The sequence below is a fragment of the Homo sapiens genome, chromosome 9, assembly GCF_000001405.40.
Source record: "Homo sapiens chromosome 9, GRCh38.p14 Primary Assembly".
In the NCBI taxonomy this organism is placed as follows: Eukaryota; Metazoa; Chordata; class Mammalia; order Primates; family Hominidae; genus Homo; species Homo sapiens.
Genome location: NC_000009.12, coordinates 132,144,418 through 132,169,041, shown reverse-complemented (window position 1 = coordinate 132,169,041; position 24,624 = coordinate 132,144,418). Strand labels below are relative to the sequence as shown.

At 53.4% G+C, this 24,624-nt stretch overlaps 1 protein-coding gene and 1 long non-coding RNA gene across 23 annotated transcripts in view, besides 1 other annotated feature; one reads left to right on the top strand and one right to left on the bottom strand.

Annotated features, from left to right (window-relative positions):
* Positions 1-7,353, bottom strand: part of NTNG2 (netrin G2) — an 82,838-nt gene extending 75,485 nt beyond the window's left edge. For 8 of the 22 annotated variants that reach the window (XM_011519094.3, XM_011519106.3, XM_006717304.4 and 5 more), the window contains exons 1-4: positions 6,803-6,984; positions 3,426-3,515; positions 2,929-3,063; positions 1,998-2,693 (exon numbers count right to left, since the gene is read on the bottom strand). In XM_011519094.3, coding sequence (XP_011517396.1) covers positions 1,998-2,210 — 213 coding nt within the window. In that variant the 5' untranslated portion in view covers positions 2,211-2,693; positions 2,929-3,063; positions 3,426-3,515; positions 6,803-6,984. Of the gene's footprint in view, positions 1-1,997; positions 2,694-2,928; positions 3,064-3,425; positions 3,516-3,758; positions 3,901-6,067; positions 6,159-6,204; positions 6,429-6,588; positions 6,745-6,802; positions 6,985-7,322 lie in introns of those variants that run through there. The other 14 variants (XM_011519100.3, NM_032536.4, XM_017015212.2 and 11 more) reach the window with 13 other exon arrangements.
* LOC124902291 (uncharacterized) lies at positions 7,342-8,584 on the top strand. Its single transcript, XR_007061826.1, has 2 exons — positions 7,342-7,426; positions 8,439-8,584. It is a non-coding gene; the product is annotated as an uncharacterized LOC124902291 (long non-coding RNA).
* Positions 14,069-14,569: an enhancer, noted in NCBI's record as "H3K4me1 hESC enhancer chr9:135029860-135030360 (GRCh37/hg19 assembly coordinates)". NCBI's record gives its function as "activates a minimal SCP1, AML or CMV promoter by ChIP-STARR-seq in primed H9 embryonic stem cells {active_cell/tissue: H9 hESC(primed)}" and the evidence as "EXISTENCE:reporter gene assay evidence [ECO:0000049][PMID:30033119]".

Genomic DNA, 24,624 nt, shown 5'->3' with positions numbered 1-24,624 from the left:
ACTGGGAGGGGTGACCACCTCCCCAGAACAGCCGCCCACTGCACTGGGTTCTCTGTCTGAGGGTGGGGGCAGGGCAGAGGTCCAGGGCCAATGACACCCTAGACAGCTTTGGCAAGGAGAGGGCCTCGGACTTGACTCTGAGGGTCATCTCCCCACCTCAAGCCCTCGACCCAAAGCTGGTCCTAGAATTATGATTTAGCTGCTCCCCCAAGCACGTTAAGGCAGTGATTAATATTTAAGAGAGAAAATACAGTCGAGACTCTAATACGAGAGACAGAGGTTGACCGTGCCCGAGAGCGTGTGGAGAACCCTCCCACCGGCTTTGAGATGTGGACTGAGTACCAGCCCCTATCCTGGCCTTCCTCCTGGCTTCCAGAGCCCAGCCCCCTTGCTTGGCCCTGCGGTCCCCGGGGCAGTTATGGCCACAGACTATCCAGCCCCAGCTCCTGGCTTCGTGCCGCCTTCTCCTTCCCTCTCTCCCTCCCTCTCTCTCTCCCCAGCTGGCCCTGGCCCAGCCACCACCCACAGTGACAGCCTCATCACCACTGACAAGCCTGAGTAAGAAGCTACCTTCTCAGGCTGACTGCCCTGTGATGTGAGCAGAGCCGGCCCATGAGATCAAGTCCTCAGGACTCTGAGGTGGGGGCACCGGGTCAGCCCCACCACAAACCCAGAGACCTGGAGGCTCCTCCAAGGACACGCAGAGGTACCAGCTGCCTGGGGGATGGCATCAAGCCCCTCCTGTGAGCTTCTGCAGCCTGGCTGCCCTACCCAGCTCTGCCCTGCCCTGCCAGGGACGGCCTCCGGAGCACTGCCCAGTGGGAAGCAGCTTAGCTCAGAGACATTGGAGCCACTCTAAGCTGGAATCACAGCTTCGCCACCTCCTGGAGTGTGACCTTGGCCAGATGCCTTTACCCGTCACCCCTGGGCTGCCTCAGTTACCCCACCTGTATGACCAGAATGACAACGGCTAACATCTGCGTGCACTTACTCTGTGCCAGGTCCTATTCCGAACACTTTACCTACGTTAATTAAACCACAAACTCCTCACAATGACCCTAGGAGTGTGTGCTCTTAGTGTGCCCATTTTGCAGATGACAGAACAGAAGCCCACAGACGTCACTGGGCCAGAGCCCTCCCCTGACGCTCCTGCTTTATACAACACAGAATCCACCTGGCTAGCTGAGGGGAGGACTCCTCGCAATGGCATCAGGCTCGGCCCACACACTCAGACAGCTCGCACGCAACCATCTCTGCTGTTGTTGTTGCTGTTAACATTACTTGAGTACTGAAGTACTCCGTGCCCCTAGGACCCCTCCTTCTCTAGCTAGGGAGGCAAGGGACAACGCCTGAATGTCTGCCTTCCCCCGACTTACCCAGGGGCTGCCATCATTGCATGTAGGAATGGAAGTGGAAGGGGACCCAAGCTGCACTGTCTGTCCCAGCTTAACCCCCAACTTCATCCTGCGTGAATCCCCTCTGAGCCTCCGTCAAACCTCCCCATGCAAAGGGCCAGCTCAGTGCTTGGCATGCTCTAGCTTCATGGTACCGTCTGCTGGATTGGATTGAGTGGGCTAAGAGGTTGCACCACAGAAAGGATGAACAGAGGGAGCTTACAGTATCATGTTGCAGGTAGCATCTTGCTCACTCGCCCAGAATGCTGACTTCCTACACAGGAGGTGGGGCTTAGCCTGAAGGCTGCGGAGCTGAATACTATAGGCTTCCCGAGGGAACTGAACTAGTGGCCAGCTGGCCGAGAATGCCCCTACCCCAGAGAACAATGTCACATGACCCCAGTGTCCTCAGGGTGTCCTCTGTTTTGACACATTTCCAAGGTGGGACAAAGACCTGGTCCAGGTCTGGTCCAGACCTGGTCAAGAGGCAGGAAAGTCAGCCTTGCATCTCAGTCCTCCAGCTCTGCTCGTCCACCCCAAGGATCTCCTCCAGACCTCCTCCCACTTGGCCTGGGCAAACAAAAGAGCAGTAAGTGGACTTACATGGGAGCAGAACCTCTCAGGGGGGTCTCCACATGTGATGCCTGAGGGCTCCACCTTCACCTTGACGTAGTCCTTCAGGCGCATCACCTTGGGCTGGCAGGCGTAGAACTCCCAGGTGGGGCCCTCATCTGTGGTCACCCAGGATTTGCAGATGTCATAGTCCCCAGAGGCCAGAGGGAGGCAGTGCAGGAAGAGCGCCAGCAGATGCAGCATGGCTGCGCAGTCTGCAGAGGCGCGGCCCAGAGAAGCCCTGGAGAGGCAGCGACGGGGTCAGGCGGGACTCGCGGCCTCAGCATGGAAATGCCACATCTACCAGGCGAGGGTGGCCGGGGTGTCCCAGGGACCCGAGCACTGAAGCTTTGCAAACAGCGAGGAACTTGTTGTTTCCAAAAGGCCGACACGGAAAATTCAGAGCCAGCGTTTCTCAGACTGCTGATGGACAGATCAGAAAGTTGCCCATAACTTCACGTCCTCCTAACCCTGGTATCACACCTCCCCTGGAGGTGAATCTGATCAAATCAGGCAGATTCTCAAATTGTGACAGTGGATGGAAATGGGATAAGGAGAAAATCCGCAGGGATCCTGCATGAGGCTGGATCAGATTGCTTTTAATTTTTGTCCTTCCAATCAATCCAGGTCTTTAAAGGGCTCTTAATGGGTGACGTGCTCAACACAACGGCAAAACAACCCTCCAGCCTGCGTTGTAAAGATAAAATAAAATCAGGAGGTGGGCATGTTAGCTGGAAACATGTTCCCTCTTTGGGACTGGACTTGGGTTCTCAGACCAATAAAAGAGATTTCTTTCATATGAGCTTAAGGTGGCAACAGCTGTGTGACTGGACTAGAATGAAAAGCTACTGAGGTGTTCACTGGGGAGAAGGCTATTTGGTTCTGCTTTGGTGGGGGCCGGCACTAATGGGGCCCAGCTGACCTTGGCTGGTAGCCATCGGCAACTTATTATGAAGTTTCTGAGATCTCAGCTCTCAATCCATCCAGGTACCTGGGGTCTGACTTGTCTTTCATTGTAAGAGGGGAGGAGAGAGAGAGAGCTCATTAGCAACAACACCTGCAACAAATTAAAGAGGGGGAGAATAGAGACGTATAAGAACAAAAGCTCTCCGGCAAAATGTGCAAAAAATGAGGCTGCATTAGCAAAGTCTCCCGAGAAAACTGGGTTATTTTTATTAATATCAGAGTTGCACATTTGGAGATCGGGCATGTTATTTAAAAGGTGATGCATTTTTTTCTCATTTATGGGAGTGTTAGTTCAGCAGAAGTGCCCCGGCTTGGGGGTCAGAGACTTTCAAAAGCATCCCCAGGAGCCAAGATTTAATGGTTGCTTTAAAATACCATGACTGTCAAGTCAGAATGTCAAAGTTGTTAAAGGCAAAGATGAGCATGTAACTATAGGTGCAGATGGACCCATACCTATATGTACAGATGAACAGAGTGCTCCACGTGCTGGCCAACCATGAAGAGCCAGGCACTGAGAAACAGCCCCCCAATCATAGGCACAATCTGAAATGGCAAATTTAATTTTTTTTAACTGTAAGAAACTAGGGATATTGAAGACTGCCAAAGAGGTAACAATGCTTTGTGAGTTCAGATTTTTCTGATCAAGGCCAGCATTTTGCAAATCATTCTTAGAGGGTAGGTCTATAAATGGGTTACAATTACGATTATTGCTGTGCTATTTTAAGCTTCTGTTAATTATTTAAAATCAAAATAGATATAATTAATATATTATATCAAAATAGATACCAGTTACATGAATGTTACATTGGGAAATAACACGACTGCAGTACTGTGGTGTGTTCCAGACACTGGATACGTCACCCGGAGAATCCAAGTCCAGCCAGCATGGGATTCTGGCCAAAAATATTGGCCAATAGGGCAAAGGTTACTGCAGTAAAAAAGTGCCTGCATGATTAATTATTCTGGTTAATATGTCTTCGATGATTGCATTTGATTTCCCAAACCACCCCAAATGTCCAGTCTGGACCTGGCTCTCCCCTGACATCCTCTTCACCTCCTGTACTTGCAAGGCCCCTGAAGAGTTAACTGTGTTTCCGTGAAACTCCATTCTCCACCCAGACAGAAAAACGCTCCTGCCAAAAATGACAAACCGAAGTGGCGGACACTTGCTGCCCTGAGCGCCCTGAGCACCTCAGGCTCGGAGCAGCCCCCAGCCAGGGCCCCAGGGCTCCAGGCATGGGACTCATTCATCTGAGTTAGGGCGACCCCTGCCCCTCTCTCTGGGTGAAGGACTGCTGATGGAGATGAACGAGAACCCAGCCAGGACCATTTTCCCCGTCTCACCTCTGGCTGTTTAAAGGGGAACCTGTTACAGAGCCTGCCTGGCCTTGAAGGCGCTCCTTGCTAGAAAACTCTAAGACAGAACGTGCCCGGTGTCTATTTTTGCAACCTGAGAAAATGTAGTAAAAATAAAATAGCGCCGCCGGCAAAGGTTTGGATGCCTCTACCCGAGCTCGCGCTGCCCAGAGCACAGCACGTTCCTAATTAATTCTTCCAGCAGTCGACTCCTAACTGTTCACTAACAGGTAGGGATCTCCTGGCTGCTGGGACAACCAGGACGCCGGGCTGCGGCTTGCAAGGAGGGCGCAGCTGCAACCTTCCTTCAGCTGCAGGACCCGCGGCTGCTCGGGGCTTGCAGGGCGCTGGACGCCGCCGGGCGCGGGGAGGCAGCGAGGCCCGGAGGCCGGGAGGCTGGGGCGAGCGGCGCGCGCGGCGCAACTCGCAAATCTATTAATTGCAGTCCTGTTGGTTTAAATGCCACGCATTCCCTGGAAAATAAATAAATTTAAAAAACCCTAACAACAACAAAATCTGCCAGGGGAAAAATGTGTTTACAACTAGTCAATCAATTGGGCGTTGCTGGCATCGCAGGGGGAATTACGAGCTCAGCACACGAATATTGCAGGCGGGTTCTGCCAAAAAGAAAAAAGAGAAGGGGGAAGAGAGGCAGGAGTCCCCGGATAACGAGGAGGAGCGCAGAGAGTGAGGAGTCGGCAGGGAAATTTTCAGAGTAAGAAGCTGCATCCCGGAGGATCGTTTTCTCCGTGGAAAATTTATCTTCACCTGATATTATTAAGAAACTGCAGCTCCCAGAAACAAATAGAATCAATGTGCTTTATTTTCTTTTAAGAGTCCTCAGGAACCAAGGGGGGCTGATAGCCAGGGTATTAAAACTCGAAAATTAGATTTTATCAGGATTTCTGAACTCAGATTTCTCTGTCTTATTGAATTAGCGCCTCCCGAGCTGGCTGGGCTCGCCAGCAGGTTCCTCTTGGAGTTGCCTGCTGCGCCCTCGCCGTGTGGGAAACTTGCCGCGGCGGGCGCGGGGCCCCTGGGGGCACGGGAGGGAGGGCGCTGGGGGCTCCCGGGGCTAGGGGGGATACTCAGCCCACCCCGGGGTTCCCTCTCCCTCCTCGGCAGGGGCGGCAGAGGGGGGTGAAATCTGCTTTCAGGGGAGAGTGGCGGTTGCCGGGAGGGAAAGGGAGCTTGGCCGGCGGGGTCACCTTCCCGTCCTCTGCCCCGGGCGGGGTCCAGCGGGCGCCCCGCGCTCACTGTAGCCTCGGCGGGCCTCTTAATTCCGGCGGCCCGGGTGTCCCCCCGCTCCGGAGCGGGCCCTTTATCCGGCCCCTGGGTCCCCGCCCGCGGGAGCCCTGGAAAGTTGGGCGCGGGAGGCGGGGCGCGAGCAGCAGCTCCCGGGTGGGTCCCGGCGGGCCGCGGGCGGGGTCGAGGCCGGGGCCAGGGTCGAGTCAGTGCTTCGGGCCGGCTGCGAGCCCTGTGCCTAGGACACCGACGACCCGGCAGCCCCGCAGCTGCTTTTCGTCTTCCCAAAGTTGCGTGCAAGCCACGGCAGCAATTAATAATTAAGCCCGTAATAAAGGCCCGGCCGGGACTGAGGCGCCCCCTTTTTCGGCACTGCCTCTCTTAATTAAAAGACACAGAGCAGGGCGCCCAGGAACTGGCTGTATCCTTTGCCCCGGCGCTGCCGCCTGTGGCGACCCGGCCGCCGCCGCCCCCAGCCCAGACGGCCAACTTACTCCGGAGCGGGCGGACCCCGCGAGCCCGCGGTCCTCTCTTCCCGCCTTCCCGCCGCCTCTGCTCCCCCCACCTGCGCGCCGCTCAGTTCCAGGTTCGACTCCACGCCGGCCCCAAACCAGTGCCTGCGCCCCCTCACCTCCCGACCCCCTCCCGGCGCCGGGAGAAGTTTCCAGCCGGACTGGCCGGGAGTTTCTCTGTGCAACTCACAGGCTCCCAGTTTGCAGAGAGATGGGAGGGCACGGGATGGGGGTGGCTCTAAGCGGTGGCGGTGGAATTGGGGTGGGGGAGAGGCGCGGGAGCAGGGTTAGTTTCCTTTTCCGAGACACATCCGAGCATCCTTGCAACATCCCTCCCCGACACACACACACACACACACACACACACACACACACACACACACACACTCTGTCTCTCTCTCACACACACACACACACACACTCTCACACACACGACGGAAAGGACCCGGGGGAAGCTGGCCAGAAAGACAAGCTACCCCTTTAAGATGCTGCTAAGAACGCACCCTCACACACCCCTCTGGGGCGACTCCAGTTCTCAGCTCGTAGCAGCCGCCACCAAACAACTTTTGCATCCGAGCCTTTGCCGGGCCGCTGTAAGTGGCTCCCGGGCCCGGGCAAGCCTGCATGGTCACCGAAGCCCTTTAAAAATGAAACCGGCCTGGCCAAGCTGCAGCCTCTCCCCCCGCCCGCCTCCCGGGCTCTCCCCGCCCGCCTTACCCCGGCTCGGAGCGGCTTCCCGGCGCGGAGACCTGGGAGGGCCGAGGACCGCCACCCTCCGGCGCTGCGCCTCCCCCCTCGGGCTGGCGCTGGGTGGGGGCGCGGGCCGAGGGCTGCGAGCCGCTGCTCCTTCCCCGCGCCGCTCCCGCCGCTGTGGCCGCCGCCGCCGCCGCCGTCAGATCGGGGCCAGGGAGCCCTCCGGCCGCCGGGGGGGCCGCCCGCAGCCGTCCCGGAGACGCGGGCCGGGGGAGGGGGCCGCCCGCGCCGCCCGCATCGCCCGCCCGGGCTGAGCGGGAGGTCGCCGCTAACAAGTGCAAACTTTTTGGCCCCCCTGGGCGGCCCGGGGAGGACCCGCGCTCGGGCGCCGGGCAGCCCCCGGCCCGGGTGGGCTTCGCGGCGTCTCGTCGGGGAGCCGGGGCATCCCCCCGGCGCGGCGCGGGCCAGATGGCGGGCGCTTCACTGCCCCCCTGCACTCCGCTCCAAGTTAATGCCGAGGCTAAATCCTCTTGCCATCACTCACGATCACCATCGGGGCTTTTATCTCTCGGTCTGATCCGGGCTGCGTAACTTCCTCTGTGTGGCTTTAACACACCATCCCACCACGGAGCAACGGTCTTCTTAAAGGTGCAGGAAGGAAATATTGCGCGGCTCGGGGGACGCGCCACGGCCCGGGGAGGGGCGCGGCGAGCAGGGGCGTCCCGGCGGGCCCGTGGCCAGGGTGGCCCCGGCAGCCTCTGGGGGGTCGCTGCCTAAACATCGCCTCCCGGCCCGGGGGCCAGCGGGTCCCTGCGCCCAGAGCGCATCCTCAGCCGGCTCCGGTCAGGCGCAGCCGGGCTGCAGCTTCCTCTTCCAAAACCCGGGGGCCTGCCGGGGTGCCAGCGCCCATGGGTGTGGGGGCTGCCCCATCGGCACGAGGGAGGGGGGCCAAGTGAGTCAGTTCCCCCACCCCCCACAGCCAAGGGCTCAGGGCTGCTCCTCGGTCTCTCTCTGTGAAGTGCTGCCACCCAGAAGGCCCCAAGCAGTGGGTACCGGGGTGGGTGGGTGGATTTGGGGAGATGGGGAGGGGGAGCGATCTGAGCGCACAACCAGAGCCTGAATACCAGCTGACACATCGCCGCCTCCACCCTGATGGGCCCTGCTTTTGACGAAGCCAAGCCAGCTCTGCAGGGAGTGCAGAGTAGTGGGGCAGGAGGGGCCTGGCTGAGGGGTTCTCTGTCTCCCTCCCCTGCAAGCATGGGAGGCAGGTGTGGGAGGGCTCCGGTAGCAGCAGCCCCGGGCAGAGGCCACCGAGTTCACAATATCATATCCGGCAGCCCTGGGCTCTCTGATCCCCAGGAGGTTTCCTGCCAGCCTGCCTCCCAGGGCTTCTGGGAGAGTTTCCACATCTTCCAGAAGCACATGTGGTTTTCGGACACTCCTGGCCTCCTGGGGTGGGCTCACTGCAGCCTTGAGCAGCCAGCACTGTCATTTGGATGCATCAAGAACAAAGGGCCTGAGGACAGACAGAGAGAGAGGCAGAGAGAGAGAGACCAGCCCAAGGTCACAGAGGGTGTTGGGAATGGAGCAAGACATGGCACCTCAGTGCCCCGCCCTGCTGCCACCCTTCACCTCCACCTTAACCCTTCCCTGTTCTCAGCTGCCCTGAAAACTGGAGACGGAGTTATACTGCTGAATAATATTTGGAATCTTGTGACAAAACAGGAAGAGGATGCAGAATTAAAGACTGTCATCTGCTGTAATAATAATAATAATATATTTATTGAACACCTGTTTTATGCCAGACTCCATGCAAACCAGTTTGTGTGCATTATTCACTGAATCTTCGCCAAAGCCCTGTGACTTCACTGCTAGTAGCAAAGCCTCAAGTTAGAGATGTTAAGTAACTTGCCCAAGGTCACATAGCTAAGGATTGTGGCCGGGGAGGCAGGGCTTTTGGGTTTCTGGGTGATGCTCTCTCACTGGCCTGGCTGGCTGGTGAACTTGGAACACGGCCCAGACTGCTTTGGGGCTCAGTTTCCCCATATGTGAGATATGAACGGTAAATCCTTCTTTTTTCAAAGAGGGGTCAAAAAACAGGGCCATTGTGTGCCTCTACCTGCACATGCTCTCAGATGCCTACCACTGGAGATGGGCCTATCTCACCAAGCAGCCCAGGAAGGCAGACATGGGCCCACCCCTGGTTACCTGTTCTATGCAGGAGGAAGCTCCTTGGGAGAAGAGAACAGATCTTGGTGGTTTGATTTTTAAGCATTCAGCCTGCAGGCAGCAGTGAAGGGCAGGGTGTGGGGCTCCTGCACAGGGTGAGTGATGACCAGGGTCAGCCCTCAGCCTGCTGTCACCCCAGGGCATGGTCATCAATCCCTGGGAACCACCCTGCTCCTCCATCATCACTGTGGACTGGATGCTGTCAGGAATGGCCAAAGAGATGGAGGAGCTGCTTCTTACTTGTAGTTCATCTAAACACAGTGGAGGAACCAGGGGTGCCTCCTCCCTAGCACTGCCAGGATGGTTTCAGTGACCCATATGTAAAGATATGTGCCACTAGAAACAATTTTTAACATGCCTCCCTGCCAGCCCCCACCTCACCAATACTCCCTGCCTCTGCAACAAGCTGATGCCAACAGGCTTTTTTTCGGGGACCTATGCCAGAAGCTGTCTTCTGGTTTCCTCATTTCCAGACCCCAGGATAATGGAAAGAGCACCGCACTGAGAGTTGGGATAATGGGCTTTTCTTGGCTCAGCCCTTACCATGCTGTGTGGCTGGGGGAGATCCCTTCCCTGCTCTTGGCTTCAGTTTCCCCATCTGCACGATGAGGGGATTTGTCCAGGAGGGTGGTCCCTCTGCTATGATCCTGAGTTGACCGCACTCCACAGCAGCCTCCAGGAGACGATGTTCCTTTCAAGTGAACCATAAAGCACTTATTTTCCAAGATAGGGAACAAATAGGATTTCAGCCTTGCGGGGACCAGGTGGTTGACGGACATTCATTTTTAAACTTCATTAAGGTAACTTCTGATAAATGACCTTTTTTCTGGCAATGAAAAGAAGCTGAGCACCAGGGGCAGGAAAGTGTTAATGAATCTCCCTGAAAATAACCGCTGGCTCCCCTCTCACCAGCAGCCTAATCATCCCCTTCACTGGTGGGATTTTGGCTCCAATGCACAGTTTTAATTTGAATTGTGTATGTGGAATTTGCTATCAAAAAGCATCTGCAGAACAATGCACTTAATTTTATTCCATCTATATTTTTGAAAAGGATTTGTATATAACCATACATATGTATGATTATATACATATGATTGTATATAAGTCCACTATATATATGGACACATCCGTTATATATGTGGACGATGAAGACATACACCAAAGTATGAACAGGGGAGATGAGGGGGGACCAATGTGCTTTATTATAGATATCCTCTCTGGGTTGCCTGACTCCTTTACAATGAGGAAATTTGCATGGTATAGATGAGTAACAGGAAATTATAAAGTCACAAGCAAAAATAATCTACTAGCTTTGTAACGAGAGGTAACAGATGAGGTCCAGGCCCTCTGGGGACTTCCAAGAGGAGGCAAGTCCTGATGCAGACAGACAGACAGACAGAAGAAATGAGCTCACATTGCTGATTTAAGTCAAGTGCAAGCTCAAAGGACACCCCCTACCAAGTTCTCACCCCTCTCCTCGCTCACTCTGTTCACTTATGCCAGGCCACGATTTTGATTCTTCGACAAACTCTTTGTCCCCTTGACCTTGAGCAGTTGAGACGCAGCTGTTAGGGAGGTGGTAAGATGCTGTGCCCAGGACCATCTAGGGGTATTCAAGACATCCTGGGGCCCCTTCTACTGCCAAGGTAGGCGCAGGGGGAACCTGCCTTCCCCAAGGTGACACCTCTAGGCAGTGGCAGAGGCTACTAGAAGCACTCTGACCCCTCCCTGTCAGTCCTCAGCTCTAATCTCTAGACCATACTCCCATTAATTATTATGACTGTATTAATCATACATGTGATTAATTCAGTAATGGTGATTCATAATTGATTGCATTTTATATGGCGCCTTTCATCCACACATCTCCCAAGATGTGTACTGCCTACAACAAGAGACACATAAAGTGGAACGTGTTCTTTGCTTGCCTGCATTTTGTTGGATAAACTTCTCTTCGGAGACGCAGGGGGCTAATGGCCTTCGAGCACACTGAGCTTGCCAGTCCCAGCTCCGTGCCCATCTCCCTGAGTACTGCAGCTCAGCGGCACCCTGCCTTTCCCGGTGGCGGCCATACCGTAGGAGTCGTGCAGACTCCACCTCCTTGGCAGGCAAGTCGACCTAGGCCCCAGGCTGCCGGGCAAGGCCAGCCTGCCCCGGCTGGGAGGCAGTGCCACAAAGCGGCTTGGATGAGGGCTCTAGAGCCTGACTCTCTGGGTATGAGTCGTGCCTCTCCTGCTAATTAGCTGTGCAACCTTGAGTAAGTTACTTCCCTCTCTGCCTCACTTTACCCAAATGAAAAATGGGATTGTAATAGTCTCCATCTTCCTAGAGTTATGGTAAAGATCAAATAAAATGATGGACAGAAAGCAATTCGAACGTGGCACACAGTAAGTGCTCAATAAATGTGAGCAGCCATTGTGGAACCTTAGGCCTGGTTCCAGCACCAGCAGCTCTGCGACTCGACTGGGCTCTTCCCTGCTCTGGATCTCAATTTTCTCAGCTGTGAAATGGGATGGTGGCTGAACCTTGTTGGTTCTTCCAGATCTTAAATGAGCACTTAATACAGTCACAGTTGAAATTTGGGGCTTCAGAGTCAAGCAGCCCTGGGGTCCCATTCCCGGCTATGTGACTCACCTTGCCAAGGCTCATTTGTTTCACCTGGAAAATGGAGGTTAGAATGGTCTCCAATACCTAGGCTTGGTCTAAGGATTTAGTGAACTAATGCTTGAAATCGATTTGGCTTCTAGAAAGTGCTTAACACAAGGTGGCTCTGGTATTACACACTCAGGCACCAAGCACAGCAGTTTACTACAATCTCCAATTTCTGCTTTAACCACCGTTCTGTGAAAGAGACTCTTATCCTGGCCATTCTTCAGACGAGAATACCAAGGTTGAAGGATGTGTCCTAGGTTATTCCGGGAAGGCAGGGCTCCTATTTGAATACAGGCCTCATGGCTGGGCTCGCTGATATATGGTCTCAGTCCCAAGCTTATCATTCCAAGATTGTTTCTTCCCAACAGCCCTGGGAGGGAACCGGCATCGCAGTCTCCACTTGCCAGCAAAAGATACAGGGACTAGCTGGGCGCGGTGGCTCACGCCTGTAATCCCAGCACTTTGGGAGGCTGATGCAGGTGGATCGCTGGAGGTCAGGAGCTTGAGACCAGCCTGGCCAACATGGTGAAACCCTGTCTCTACTAAAAATACAAAAATTAGCCAGGCGTGGTGGTGGTGCGTGCCTGTAGTCCCAGCTACCTGGGAGGCTGAGGCATGAGAATCGCTCGAACCTGGGAGGTGGAGGTTGCAGTGAGCTGAGACTGAATCGCACCACTGCACTCCAGCCTGGGTGACAGAGCCAAAAAAAAAAAAAAAAAAAAAAAAAGATACAGGGACTGGGAGCTGGGAGTGAGTTGGTGCCTTCTCCAGGTTTCATGGCAAGTGAGCCCTGGGCAGGTGAGAACAGCCCCTGTGGACTGGGTGGAAATACTACTGTGCCACTGTGCCTTTGTCTGCAAAGTTTCTTCCACCAGAAGCCTGGCTGGGATCCCTCCAATCCGTGAGTTCCCATGGAAATGTCTCTTTCCCGAGTTCCAGCAGCATGACAGGGAGAGGAAAGCAGCAAAGCTTAGCCCAGAAGAGCCCAGGCTCCTCCAGGCAAAGCTGCTCAGCTCCCTGGCGAGGGGTGGCTGCTGTGAGAAGGAAGCCCACCTCCTCCACACTCCATGGAGCAGCAGACAGCCAGGCAGGCAGCCGGTCTCTCGTCTGGAAGCCCCAGAGGCAGGACCCATCGCTGCTCACTGCCATAAATTCCGGAGTCCCTGAGGACTCCTCAGTCTCAGGAGACAGGATGCAAAGGAGCATTGGCACCCCTTTTTCAGTGAGAGCGGGTAACTGCCCAGCCCTGCCAGCTTCGAGCTCAGGGGGCATCTTCTGGGCAATTGTGGCCTACCCACTGAGTACCTACTGTGGGCCAGCATCCCCCAGCCCTGGGGATGCCCATGGTGACAGATCCACTGGGTCCTGCCTTTGGGGTGCAGCAAGTCTAGTGGGATTATTCACATCTCATGGACCAGGCTGCCTGTGCACCTCACAAAGGTTGTCTGAGCACCTACTATGTGCCAGACACAGGCCAAACCAGGGAGGCGGTGCAGTCTGAGGAAGTGTGAGTGGGTATGTGTATGCCTATGCACACACATGCATGCAGGCATGTGGCAGTATTGCCAAAAACACTAGACAACACAAAGTCAATGGTGGAGGCGAGTCCTACCTCTCAGGATAGGAGACAAGGAAAGCTCAAACTAGGAGCGCCAAGAGCAATCCCCAGGCTTGGTGGGAACCCAGACCTCCACTCCCACCTCTCTGGGCCTCAGTTCCTCACCTGTCAAGTGGTGATAGTCATGGCACCTACCTCCTGGGATTGTTGGACGGATTCACTGAGAAAATGTGTAGGAATTATTTCAGGTAGTAGATGATCAAGAAATGTCGGCTCTGATTAGTCGTCATTGGCCGAGTCTCTCCTCTGGCCAAGGCTCTCTGTTCCACGATGATGGGGAGTCCAGGGGAACATTGCTCCGTGTCAGAAGAGTAATGGGGTTAGACTAACCAGTGTCACCTGGCCATCAAGCCTGGGAAATAAATGGAAACACCAGCCCCAGCTCTCCTCCCAGCCACAGTGTCTCTTTTCACATATGAACAATTCAGAATCTGCTCTTGAATCCGAATCCGAATTTCCACCCTCATCCCACCCATTCCTCTCCTGCTTTTGGGACAGTTTCTCCCGACTCCCAATGTGGGGAGCAGGAGAAGTTGTGGAAGGAGCCGCAGCTGGCCGAGTCATGGAATCTTTCTCCTGGGTCTGCCTCATCCTCTCGCCAGGTGTGCAGGCTTCTCACAGCCTCCCGCTCGGGGCAGCAGGGGCGTGTGGAGGTGATTGAGAAGAGGTTTGCATCAGCAAGGAGAGCAGGAGCTGAGGAAAGGCTGCAATCAGAAGGGAAAATGCATTATCAGCAGGAGGAAGCTGCCTCCCCCTCCCACCCGGCGACTCCTCCCCTAGAGGAAAACATCTTTCTTCCTTATTGGGCAGGGGATCTGGGCCTCCAGGACAGCAAAGCAGATGTGGCCTTCCTCTCAGACATGTGCTGATCACTAAATAATTGACCCACTTATAGAACTACCTGCTCTGTGCCTCAGCCCTCTGCCTCCCACTGCCCCGGGGAGCTCACCAACCCTGCAGCGGCCTTCAGAGCACTGCACCCCCACACCCTGCTCGCTTGATCATTGTCGTCGTTCAAAAAGAGCCCCATGTAGGCCCCACCCCAAAAGCACCCATTTGCAACCATGCAAAGTCCTACACAGATGAACGACAGCTGTAGGCAAGCTGGGCGCAGCGATCTTTGTAACGAAAGGCAGCTGAAAATTCTGAAAGACGACCCACAGCAAGAGAAACTGATCAACAGAGGAGTATTCCCTGGCTGCCTCCTTCCTGATCTCACGTGCACATTCACACATGCTCTGTTGTGTGCAACCATTTCCTCATTAAGTTGTCACCATTGGCATACAAACTCTTGGTCCATCAAAGCACTGAATTCTGAGTCCTGTGACCTTGGCCCTGGCCCTTGTTCTGAATCCTGCCAAAAGGAAACACAGTGATGTTTCCCCAAACATCCCCACATCTGTGCTTTCCAGCAGTCCAGGCTGTAAGACACGGTGAGACAGGGTCCCTCTCTCTTCCTCGTCCTGCCTCCCTCTTGGTCGATCTTTTCTATTCAAAGGAAGGCCTTGGGATCAGGGCTCCCTAGAAGGTGGCAGGTACCATCGCTCACAAAGTCAACTCCTGATCTTGGGAACCAGCTTGGATTTCTTGTTTCATGACACTCGACCTAATGGATGGAGACAGCTCCAGCTGCCACTGGTCTCTCACTCCGTGGACTTGGCTGGCCATTGCCCGCGACCTCTAGGATGTCCACACTTAGCCCATGCTGCCCCCATTTCTGGGGGTGGGACTCCTCCCCCTCCTGGAGGTCCCGGTGAGTTGTCGGCCCTGGAGATTCCTCACAGAGTCTTCTGCCTCCCATCCCTACCCTTCACTCCTTTTTCACTGGGTTCATTTTTTTTTTTTTACTGGTGGAGTAAACACAGACGTGCAGGCTGGGAGGGAAAAGCAGCCAGGGTCACTTGGCCACATGCTTTGCTTTTTGCGTCACCTGGGAGTTGGAGGGACATGGCTTCTCACATTCAAAAGGACTCCCAGGAGATTTTTCTTTTGAATCTGGGAAAACAAAAGTTCTGGGCCCGACTTCCTCTCTTGGTTCTGCTGGTTCTGGAGTCCAACTTGGCTGCACGACGCAGTTCTGTGGTTATCTGGCCCACTCCCTTCCCTGCCCTGCCCAGAGGCTCCTCCAGGACCCCTCTCTGTAGTTCTGATGACCCCAGCTTCTTTCACTGCTTTTGGAGATCACCTTGAGGCCGATGGGACTCTGAGCCAAGCACGTGTGGCGTGGTCACCTGGGGATGCTGAGACGGCCCCAGGATGGTCCTCCAGTGGCCTATATGATGGTCTTTGGCCACATTCGCGGTAAGCTTGACATTTATGAGCCTGGCCTCAGAACCTGACAGCCCGGGCTGAGAGTCCCTGTGCTGCCACTTATGTGTTTGGGCACGCCTTCTCACCTCAATTTTCCATCTGTACAATGGGCACAACAGCACCACCTCTCAGGGTTGTCGTGAGAAGTTAAGAATGCAATGATGAGTGCAGAGTGCTCAGAGGGGTGTAGGAGCCCCACATGTGATCAGCCTGCCGGCAGCAGGTGAACCCTTGACCCTGGAAAGTGTCCCCAGCCTGAGCAGAAGGGCCTCCCCTTACCTAGCACAGCCTTTGGGCCTCTAGCAACAGGGAGTGCTCACCCCACCTCAAAGGGGGAAAGGCCACCTTTGGCTTTGAATTCATAAGATGGTGAACTAGGGCGACATTAGAAGGCAAAGAAAATATACTTTCCTGTCAAATAGAGGGATATATCCCTGAACTCCTGTTCAAATGAACTCATTCTCTGAGGTCAGCTTACAACACCCATTCACTGTGCAGCCAAAAGCACCACCTCTCTCTTCCAAACCCCTACTCGCGCCCCACATAACAGAACATGTGCCAGACCTGGAAGCGGGGGCTCTTCCTTGTCCCTCCTTACAGATAGGGAAACTGAGGCTCTGAAAGGTGAAACAACTTGATCCAAGTCCTACACCAGGATCCAAACACATGCCTGTGACCCCACGGCCAGTGCCTTGACCCTTCCCCGCCCACATTTCTCAGAATTTCTTGCCCCAATTCTGTCCCCTGAAAGCTTTGGGACTGTAGCTGAGTCCCTGACTCCATTTCTGGGGTTCAAGATCTTCATCCATCAAGGGAGGAGTTTGAGCTGGTGGCACCTGAGGGTGCTTCCAGTGCTAACATTTTCAGATAAGCTGCTGGCCTCCCAGGTCCTCTCCTGACACAGGAGTCTCAGCTCACCCAGTACAAATGTTTCCCTGAACGATCAACACAATGACAACTCCCTAAGGAGAGGAGAGACATGCGTCAAGAACAGGATTGTTAGAAGCCTGACATTAACACACCATGCACATGGCACAGGTGACGCCCTGGGCAGCCAGCGGCGCGGCCACTGGGGAACACAGAGGCGGCGGGCCGGGTAGACAGGCCTGAGCTTCTGGTCTGTGCTTTGATTTTTAATTTTTGTCAATGTGAGCTCCAGAAATGCCTTATGGTACACTGGGAAAAACTCTCCTTTTGCAGCTAAATGGCCAAACATGTACCGAGCAACTGCTCTGTGTCTGCAGGGCCTTGGGAGCCCAAGGGTGAGGCTGGAACCTCTTAACCAGGTATGACCAGGCAGTTTCCAGAAAGAACCTCTTGGCATGAGGCATCCATATGTGGGGCTGCTGCTGTCCGGCTGGTCTGCACGAGGGCCACCACTCCCATTTGTTGAAACATTGAAATACTTCATGCATTTACTGTCGGCAAAGAGCCACTATTCTGGGCCCCTGGAGGGTCTCCCCATCCCACTTCCCAGGCCACTCAGCACCCTTCCTTGGGAACCTCTAGATAGCTAGACCTCCCCCAAACCCAGCAGCTACCTGGGCTAGTGCCTGGCACAGCAGCAGGACCTCTAGGTCTCACTCCTGCGCTCACCTGGCACCTGCCTGTCCCCTTGGGCGGCACCCATGGCCTGCTGGTTGTTCAGTATACTGATAATCACTGCTGACCTCAAACACACATGTGCACATGCCCGCAGCCCAGAGTTTGGGGTGATGTGGTTCTCTGCTGCCCTTGGGATTCCCTAGGGTGTTTTCAGGAAGACCCCGCTCCCAAGCATCCCCCTCAGGGCCCAGGTCACTGGGGTCGGGCCACCTTGGGGTCCTCCCACAGCAGAGCAGGAAGGCAACTTCTGGTCCTATAGAGCCTATGCTTTACTGTCCCCAGTAACCTTCCCCCAGCTAAGCCCACCCACCACTCTGCATTTTATAACCAGAGAGGAGAGTAGCTTCTGCTTCTGGAAGAGGGGGCTCTTCTCTGGCTGCCCTCGTCTGTGGTCTCTCAGACTCAGATGGAGAAGTGCAGCTGGCAGAGAGGGTGAAGAGGGGGAAAATTCCAAGTATCAGTGTTGACCAGGGGGCTGTGTTGAGCTGGATCCCAGGTTATCAGGACAGAGTGCTGTGATTGACTAGTCATGGCTGCCTGGCGATGGATTCGTCATGTCTGTCTGGATGGGGGAGAGGCACATTGGACTCCATGTTCTCCCTGTTTTAGAGGATGAGGATGAGTCTCTACCCACCCTATAGACAGCCCAGGGCCACACCAGACACACACGGTACTTGAGAAATGTGTTCAATTGAGGGCAATGTTAAACATGAAGCAAGCAACCTGTGTGTTTATTATTATTATTAATATTATTATTATTACTACTACTATTTGAGACAGGATCTCACTCTGTTGCCCAGGCCAGAGTGCAGTGGTGAGGACATGCCTCTACCTCCCAGGTTCAGGCAGTTCTCCCACTTCAGCCTTCCATGTAGCTGGGGCTACAAATGTGTGCCACCATGCCTGGCTAATTTTTTATTTTTTTATTTTTTGTAGAGACAGGGGTCTCACTAGGTTGCCCAGGCTGGTCTCGAACTCCTGGGCTCAAGTGATCCTCCTATCTCTGCCTCCCAAAGTGCTGGAATTACAGGTATGAGCCACCATGCCTGGCCAACCTGTGTTCATTGAGCACATATTATGTGCAACTGGATGATAAAGTAGGGAGAGGAACTGGGAGGGATGTTTCTGGGAAATTTGAAGCTTTGTTTATGTATCCGTCCATCCATTCATTCTCTCCACAGTTATTTATTGAGTGCCTTCAGTGCACCAAGCTCTGTGTTAGGGTCTGGAGATACAGAGCAGCATCTGCTCCAAGGAGCTTCCAGGGAGCTCCCTGTGTGGGGAGCCAGGCAAGGTGAGCACAGTAGAGTGTGAGCTGCCACCGGCGGCAGGGAGGGCGCACAGCCGTGCTGTTCTCCTCCCTGGCAGAGGTGCCCTCCCAGGACCGGCCGGGGTTATTAATATCCTGCTGAGTCAGGGGGCTCTTGAGTTTCAGCATCACAAGACGCCAAGACTGGGCGCCGCGGATATTCCTGACTCCAGACTGCCCTCTCCTTCTACCCTCCTTCCCACCTGCCCTTCCTTCCCTCACCTCTACCTGGCACAGGCTGTTGAGAAGGTGGCAGGTGCTGATGGAAGCAGGTCTGGCTTTGGGAGAAGGGGGAATGGGGGGAATGAGATCTTGGGAAAGAAGTAGTTCCAATCCCCACTCTACAACTCTCTCACCGTATAACCCGATGCGAACAATCTCACCTCTCCAAGTCCCCTTATCTACAAAAAGGAAATAGAGACAGCAATGATGCAGCATGAAACAGGCCGGTCATGCCAAGGGCTGTGCCTGAGTAGGTGTTAAAAAGTGATGTCTATTCATCTAATAAGTACCCACCAGGGCCGTTCCATGTGCCTTATCCAGAAGAATGACAGAACAAGACTGATATAGTTCTACCCTCCTGAAACCCAGATGGGTCAGGAGGCAGACAGCCAGAGGGTCAGAGGGAGCCGATGCTGGGGGTGCCCAGGCCTCCGCAGCTCCCACCTGATCCGATGTTTCCCCTGATACAGAGCCCTGCCCACACCATGCTGTGACTTCCTGGTTACTGGGGCCCCCTCCTCACACCTCCACCAGACTGCAAGCTGCACAGGGGAAGGCTTTGCCTGGCTGGCTCAGTGAAGACCTCTTGTGCCTTGCCCACAGTAGACACTCAATACATGTGTGCTAGCTGAATGACCCGACAAGCAATGAGTAAGAAGAGGGGTATGTGCAGTTTATATTAAATGACTCCTGTGTGCTCAGGTAAAGCTAAGTAATTAGTGGATTAATAGGATCAGCATCGATGCTAATTGGCATATTTAAAATCAAATTTGGCCAGACAAAGCGGCTTGCACCTGTAATCCCAGAACTTTGGGAGGCCAAGGTGGGAGGATGGCTTGAGGCCAGGAGTTTGCAACCAGCCTTGGGCAATGTAGCAAAACCTCATCTCTACAAAAAATAAAAATAAAAATAAATAGCTGGGCATGGTGGCCGGCGCCTGTGGTTCCAGCTACTCAAGAGGCTGAGGTGGGAGGATCACTTGAGCCCAGGGGTTCGAGGCTACCTAGTGAGCCATAATCGCACCATTGCACTCCAGCCTGGGTGACAGAGCGAGACTCTGTCTTAAAATAATAATAATAATAATAATAAAAGTGCATTTCCTTCTAGTTCTTGCTATTGCACACTCCCCTCTCTCTCTCTCTCCTCTCTCTCTCTCTCTGTCTCTCTCCTGAATAGGATTGTCTTACCTGTCAGCTTTTCCCCCTCACACACATAGTGAGACAATCATGGCTCTGAAATATATTCTCCGTGTTCAGATGAGAAGTGCAGAGGTCTGTGTGTGGGTTAGTGGGTATGACTCCTAATGAAAACAGTCCGTCCAAGTTCTCCCGAGCTGCCTGGAATTCCCACAGCGGATGAAGAGGGGTGCCCCCCTCACCACCCGCTTTCCACTCCTCCCACTTCCAGGTATTCCTTGGGGTTTTACCTGCCCTAGAGGAGGAAGAAGAAGAAAAAACCATGGCAACTGGAGACAAGGGGCCAGGTCGGGGGGAGGGGGTAGACGGTGCTGACAGCAGTGAGCCGCCCCCAATCGCTGAAACTCCCCACGGCCCCCTGAGCACCCACAACATTCGCTCCTCCACTTGACCTCAGCGAGCTTGTATGTTAGCTGGGAAGAATGTAACAGTTCAAGGACACAACAGATGAGTAAATGGATGACCATGAACGCCCCTCAGCAGACAGTCCAGTTCCTGACTTGTACCTTCGATGCCATCATCTGAGCCTCACACCTCTTCTGCCCCATTCATTCCATTCCCTGGCCACCCTCCGTTTCTCATTGCCTAGAGAATGAGGTCTGCAAGTGGTCCTAAAGTGACGCTAGCCCAGCTTCCCCCAACAGCCGCTTCATGTTACTCCCTCCTGCCCTCCATGCTGTGGTCCGGGGGTCCAGGCTGTTTCCCATACACACCTGCGATGCCCCTGGCCTGGACGTTTCTTCCTTGGGAACAAAATAGTGGGCACTGAAAACGGTGGATTCTGGCCCCCAACCCAGGCCTGCCGTCGCCATAGGTCTCCAGGACATCCTACGGGGCTTCAGGGGCTGACCCTGCTGCTCCCTCCTCTGAGAAGCCATCCCTGGCTCTCCCCGCTGGAAGAACTAATGCCAGCCCCTGACCCTGAGGCCCTGGACTGCTCTTGTGGGAAGGGCGTGGTAGTGACAAAGCTTACAGCTCTGCAGACAACCAGCTTGAAACCCCAGCCCCCACCCTACCGTAGACGTGTGACTTCGATGTATTAGTGAATCTCTCTGAATCTCAGTCTTCCCATCTGCAAAATGGGAATAAGAATAGCCCCTCCCCCATGGGATTGTTTTGAGGATTAGAAGAGATCTCATAGGCCGGGTGAGGTGGCTCACGCCTGTAATTCCAACACTTTGGGAGGCCAAGGTGGGAGGATCACTTGAGCCCAAGAGTTTGAGACCAGCCTGGGCAACATGGTGAGACCCCGTCTCTATAAAAAAATACAAAAATTAGTGGGGCATGGTGGTGCCAGTTACTCAGGAGGCTGAGGTGGAAGGATCACCTGAGCCCAGGGAAATAGAGGCCACAGTGAACCATGATTGCGCCACTTAACTCCAGCCTGGGCAACAGAGTGAGACTCTGCCTCAAAAAAGAAAAAAAAAAAAAGAAAAAAGAAAAAAGAAAGAAAAGAAAAGAAAGATCATGTACAAAGTGCACTTAAAACCACATGTACTGGTAGCGCCTGGTCTTGAAACTGGGAGGCGGAGGTTGCACTTAAAACCACATGTACCAGAAGCACTTGGTCTTGAACTTGGGAGGTGGAGGTTGTGCTTGGTGACCACGGGCCGTGAGTACAGTCTCACAGGCATTGCAGCTATTTGGAAATATGTATTGTGCCTTCTACTAGGCTAAAAGCACCCATTTAGACTTTTACCCACCCCCTTCACCACTTCCCCAACCTCATGCCCTGTCCTTTTGTCTAGGAAGGAGGAAGGGGGGAAGGAAGGAAGGAAGTAGGGAGTGGAAGTAGGGAGTGGTCATGGGAAGAAAAGGCGATACCGCTGCCAACTCCTGTCACTGTGCAGTTAGTTTGTGCCGGGCACTGGGCTTTACAGCCTTTTTCTTTATCCCCCAGCTCTGAGCTGTAACCAGTTGTTTCCCTTGTTTACAAATGAGGAAATTGGCCGGGAGCAGTGCTCATGCCTGTAATCCCAGCACTTTGGGAGGCCAAGGCAGGTGGATCACTTGAGGTGAGGAGTTCAAGACCAGCCTGGCCAATATGGGGACATCCTGTCTCTACTAAAAATACAAAAAATTAGCCGGGTGAAGTGGCAGGTGCCTGTAATCGCAGCTACTTGGGAGCCTGAGGCAGGAGAATCACTTGAACCCAGGAGGCAGAGGCTGCCGTGAGCTGAGATCATGCCATCGCACTCCAGCCTGGGCAACAAGAGCGAAACTTCATCTCGAGGAAAAAACAAAAAACAAATGAGGCAATTGAGGAGGGCCAGAGTAGTTAAGTCACTGGCCCAAGTTCACTCAGCTTGTTGGAAGCTAAGTCCAGGTCTGCTGACGCGGAAGCCAGGGCTCACACAACCTCCACGCGCCGCACGGCCGAGAGGGCCGCTGGTTTGTGTACATGCCCAGGCAAAGACTCCTGGGAGTCCCAAGCCCCTCTTTTCAAAAAGAGACTTTTTAAGCCAAGTTTTAACAGGAGTGAAGGGTGTCTGAGGAGCAGTTTGGGGACCGCTGTCCTACTGAGAAGGAAGAGCTGCTGTTTGGCATGTTGGACCAATCCTGCCCCACGCTCTACTCGGATGCTATTTTCACACACAGTGGGAAAATAACAATTTCATATGCCTCCCTTCTCAGAAGTGGTGGCTTGTAAACACATGGGGACTGGGGACGATAAAGCACAGAGCGCCTTGACTCAAACTGTCCTCCGTGTGCCAGTTTTCTGTGCAGACTAAAAAGATAATCAGTGGTGGAACATGCAGAGGGAAATGAAATTTGGATAGAGGGAAAAACACAGCCCAGAGCAGCTTCTCCTCTCGGTAGTTCCTGCACCCTGGGTATAAGGCTGCATTCCATGGCAACAGCATTCACACGTCGCTAAAATAAAAGCTGGCACCAGCTGGACCCGTTATTAAAGTGGAGCCCTTGGATCAGCCTCATCCCTGTGAGTGACAGGGTGGCACTGGCTGCCCGAGGCACAGGAGTCCCTGGGAATCATGAGTGGCGTCAGGCCTACCGCAGAGCCTCTGCAGCCATTCTGTCCAGCGTTCTCCACTGCCACTGCACGAGGACGCACAAGGACAGCGGGAACCCTTTCATCTGGGAGTGAGTTGAACCTGGTGGTTAAGGACGAGGCACTGGGGACAAAGGGAACTGAGTTCCAATCCCCGCTCGGCTAGTAACTGGCCGTTCCACCTAGAATGAGTCAATTCTCATGTCTGTGACTCCATTTTCATATCTCTAAAATGGGCGTGACAGCACATCCCATCAACAGTTGTGTACTGATCAAATGAAGAAATATATGCAAAGCATTGAGCCCATAGCAGGCAAGGGATACATGGCTACTTTTTTTTTCTTTTTTTCTTTTTTTGATGGAGTCTCCGTCTATCGCCCAGGCTGGAGTGCAGTGGTGTGATCTTGGCTCACTGCAACCTTCGCCTCCTGGGTTCAAGTGATTCTCCTGCCTCAGCATCTGGAGTAGCTGGGACTACAGGCACGCGCCACCAAGCCCGGTTAATTTCTGTGTTTTTCGTACAGATGGGGTTTCACCATGTTGGCCAGGCCGGTCTTGAATTCCTGACCTCAGGTGATCCTCCCACCTTGGCCTCCCAAAGTGCTGGGATTACAGGCGTGAGCCACCGTGCCCGGCCGATACATGGCTACTTTCTAGTGAGCTCTTCTACAGAACTACAGTCAACTTTTTGGGAATATACCTGTTGGATAAAGTGAGGGATTCTTTTAATATTTGGCACGTTGTTAAAATTGTTTATGTTAGCCAATTGCTAAATATGGGTAAAACGCTGTGTGTGCACCTCTGTGTGAGTGTGATGTATGCATGAGAGCGAGAGACAGAGAGACAGAGAGAGAGATTCATGATGCAGATGAAGTTGGAGCTAGCTTTGGAGCCAGGCTGAGGGCTTGAGTCAGCCTTTTCCACTTACTAGCCATGTGACCTTGGGTGAGTCATTTCACCTCCTCTCATCTCAGTTTCCTCGATAACACACCGTCTTTGCAGGGTTGTTGAGGAAATTAAAATGACACAAGTTTGGAAAGAACCTAACGTCCATCAGTCTCTTGAAAGATCAACAGCTGCTGCTGAGTACAAAGTGAGATCCTGGAACAGAAAAAGGACATTCGTGGAAAAACAGATGAAATCCAACGTCTGGAGTTTGGTCTGTAGCAGCAACAACGCTCTTTTCTCACTTTTGACAGGTGTACTGTGGTTACGTCAGATGATAACATTAGGGGGAACTGGATGAAGGGTTATGGAGAACACTCTGTTCTATCTTTGGAAATTTTCTGTAAATCTAAAATTTTTCCAACATTAAAATACATATATATATACACACACACACGTATATATAAGGTACACATATATGTATATACATATATACATATGTATATATGTGTGTATATATACACATTATATATATACATTATATATATATACATTATATATACACATTTTATATATATATACATTATATATATATATATATATACACATTTTATATATATATGGGCTGAGGAGCTGGTCTAGACTACAGGGGCTGACGAGGCACAACCCAGTGTAATGTGGGGTCTTGGACTGGACCCTGGGTCAAGGGAAAAGATAAAATTACTGAAAAGAGGAGTATTGGGAAAATTAGCAAAACGTGCACAGGGACCATCTCCCGCATAGGGCAGTGGTATGCTATCAGTATTAAATTTC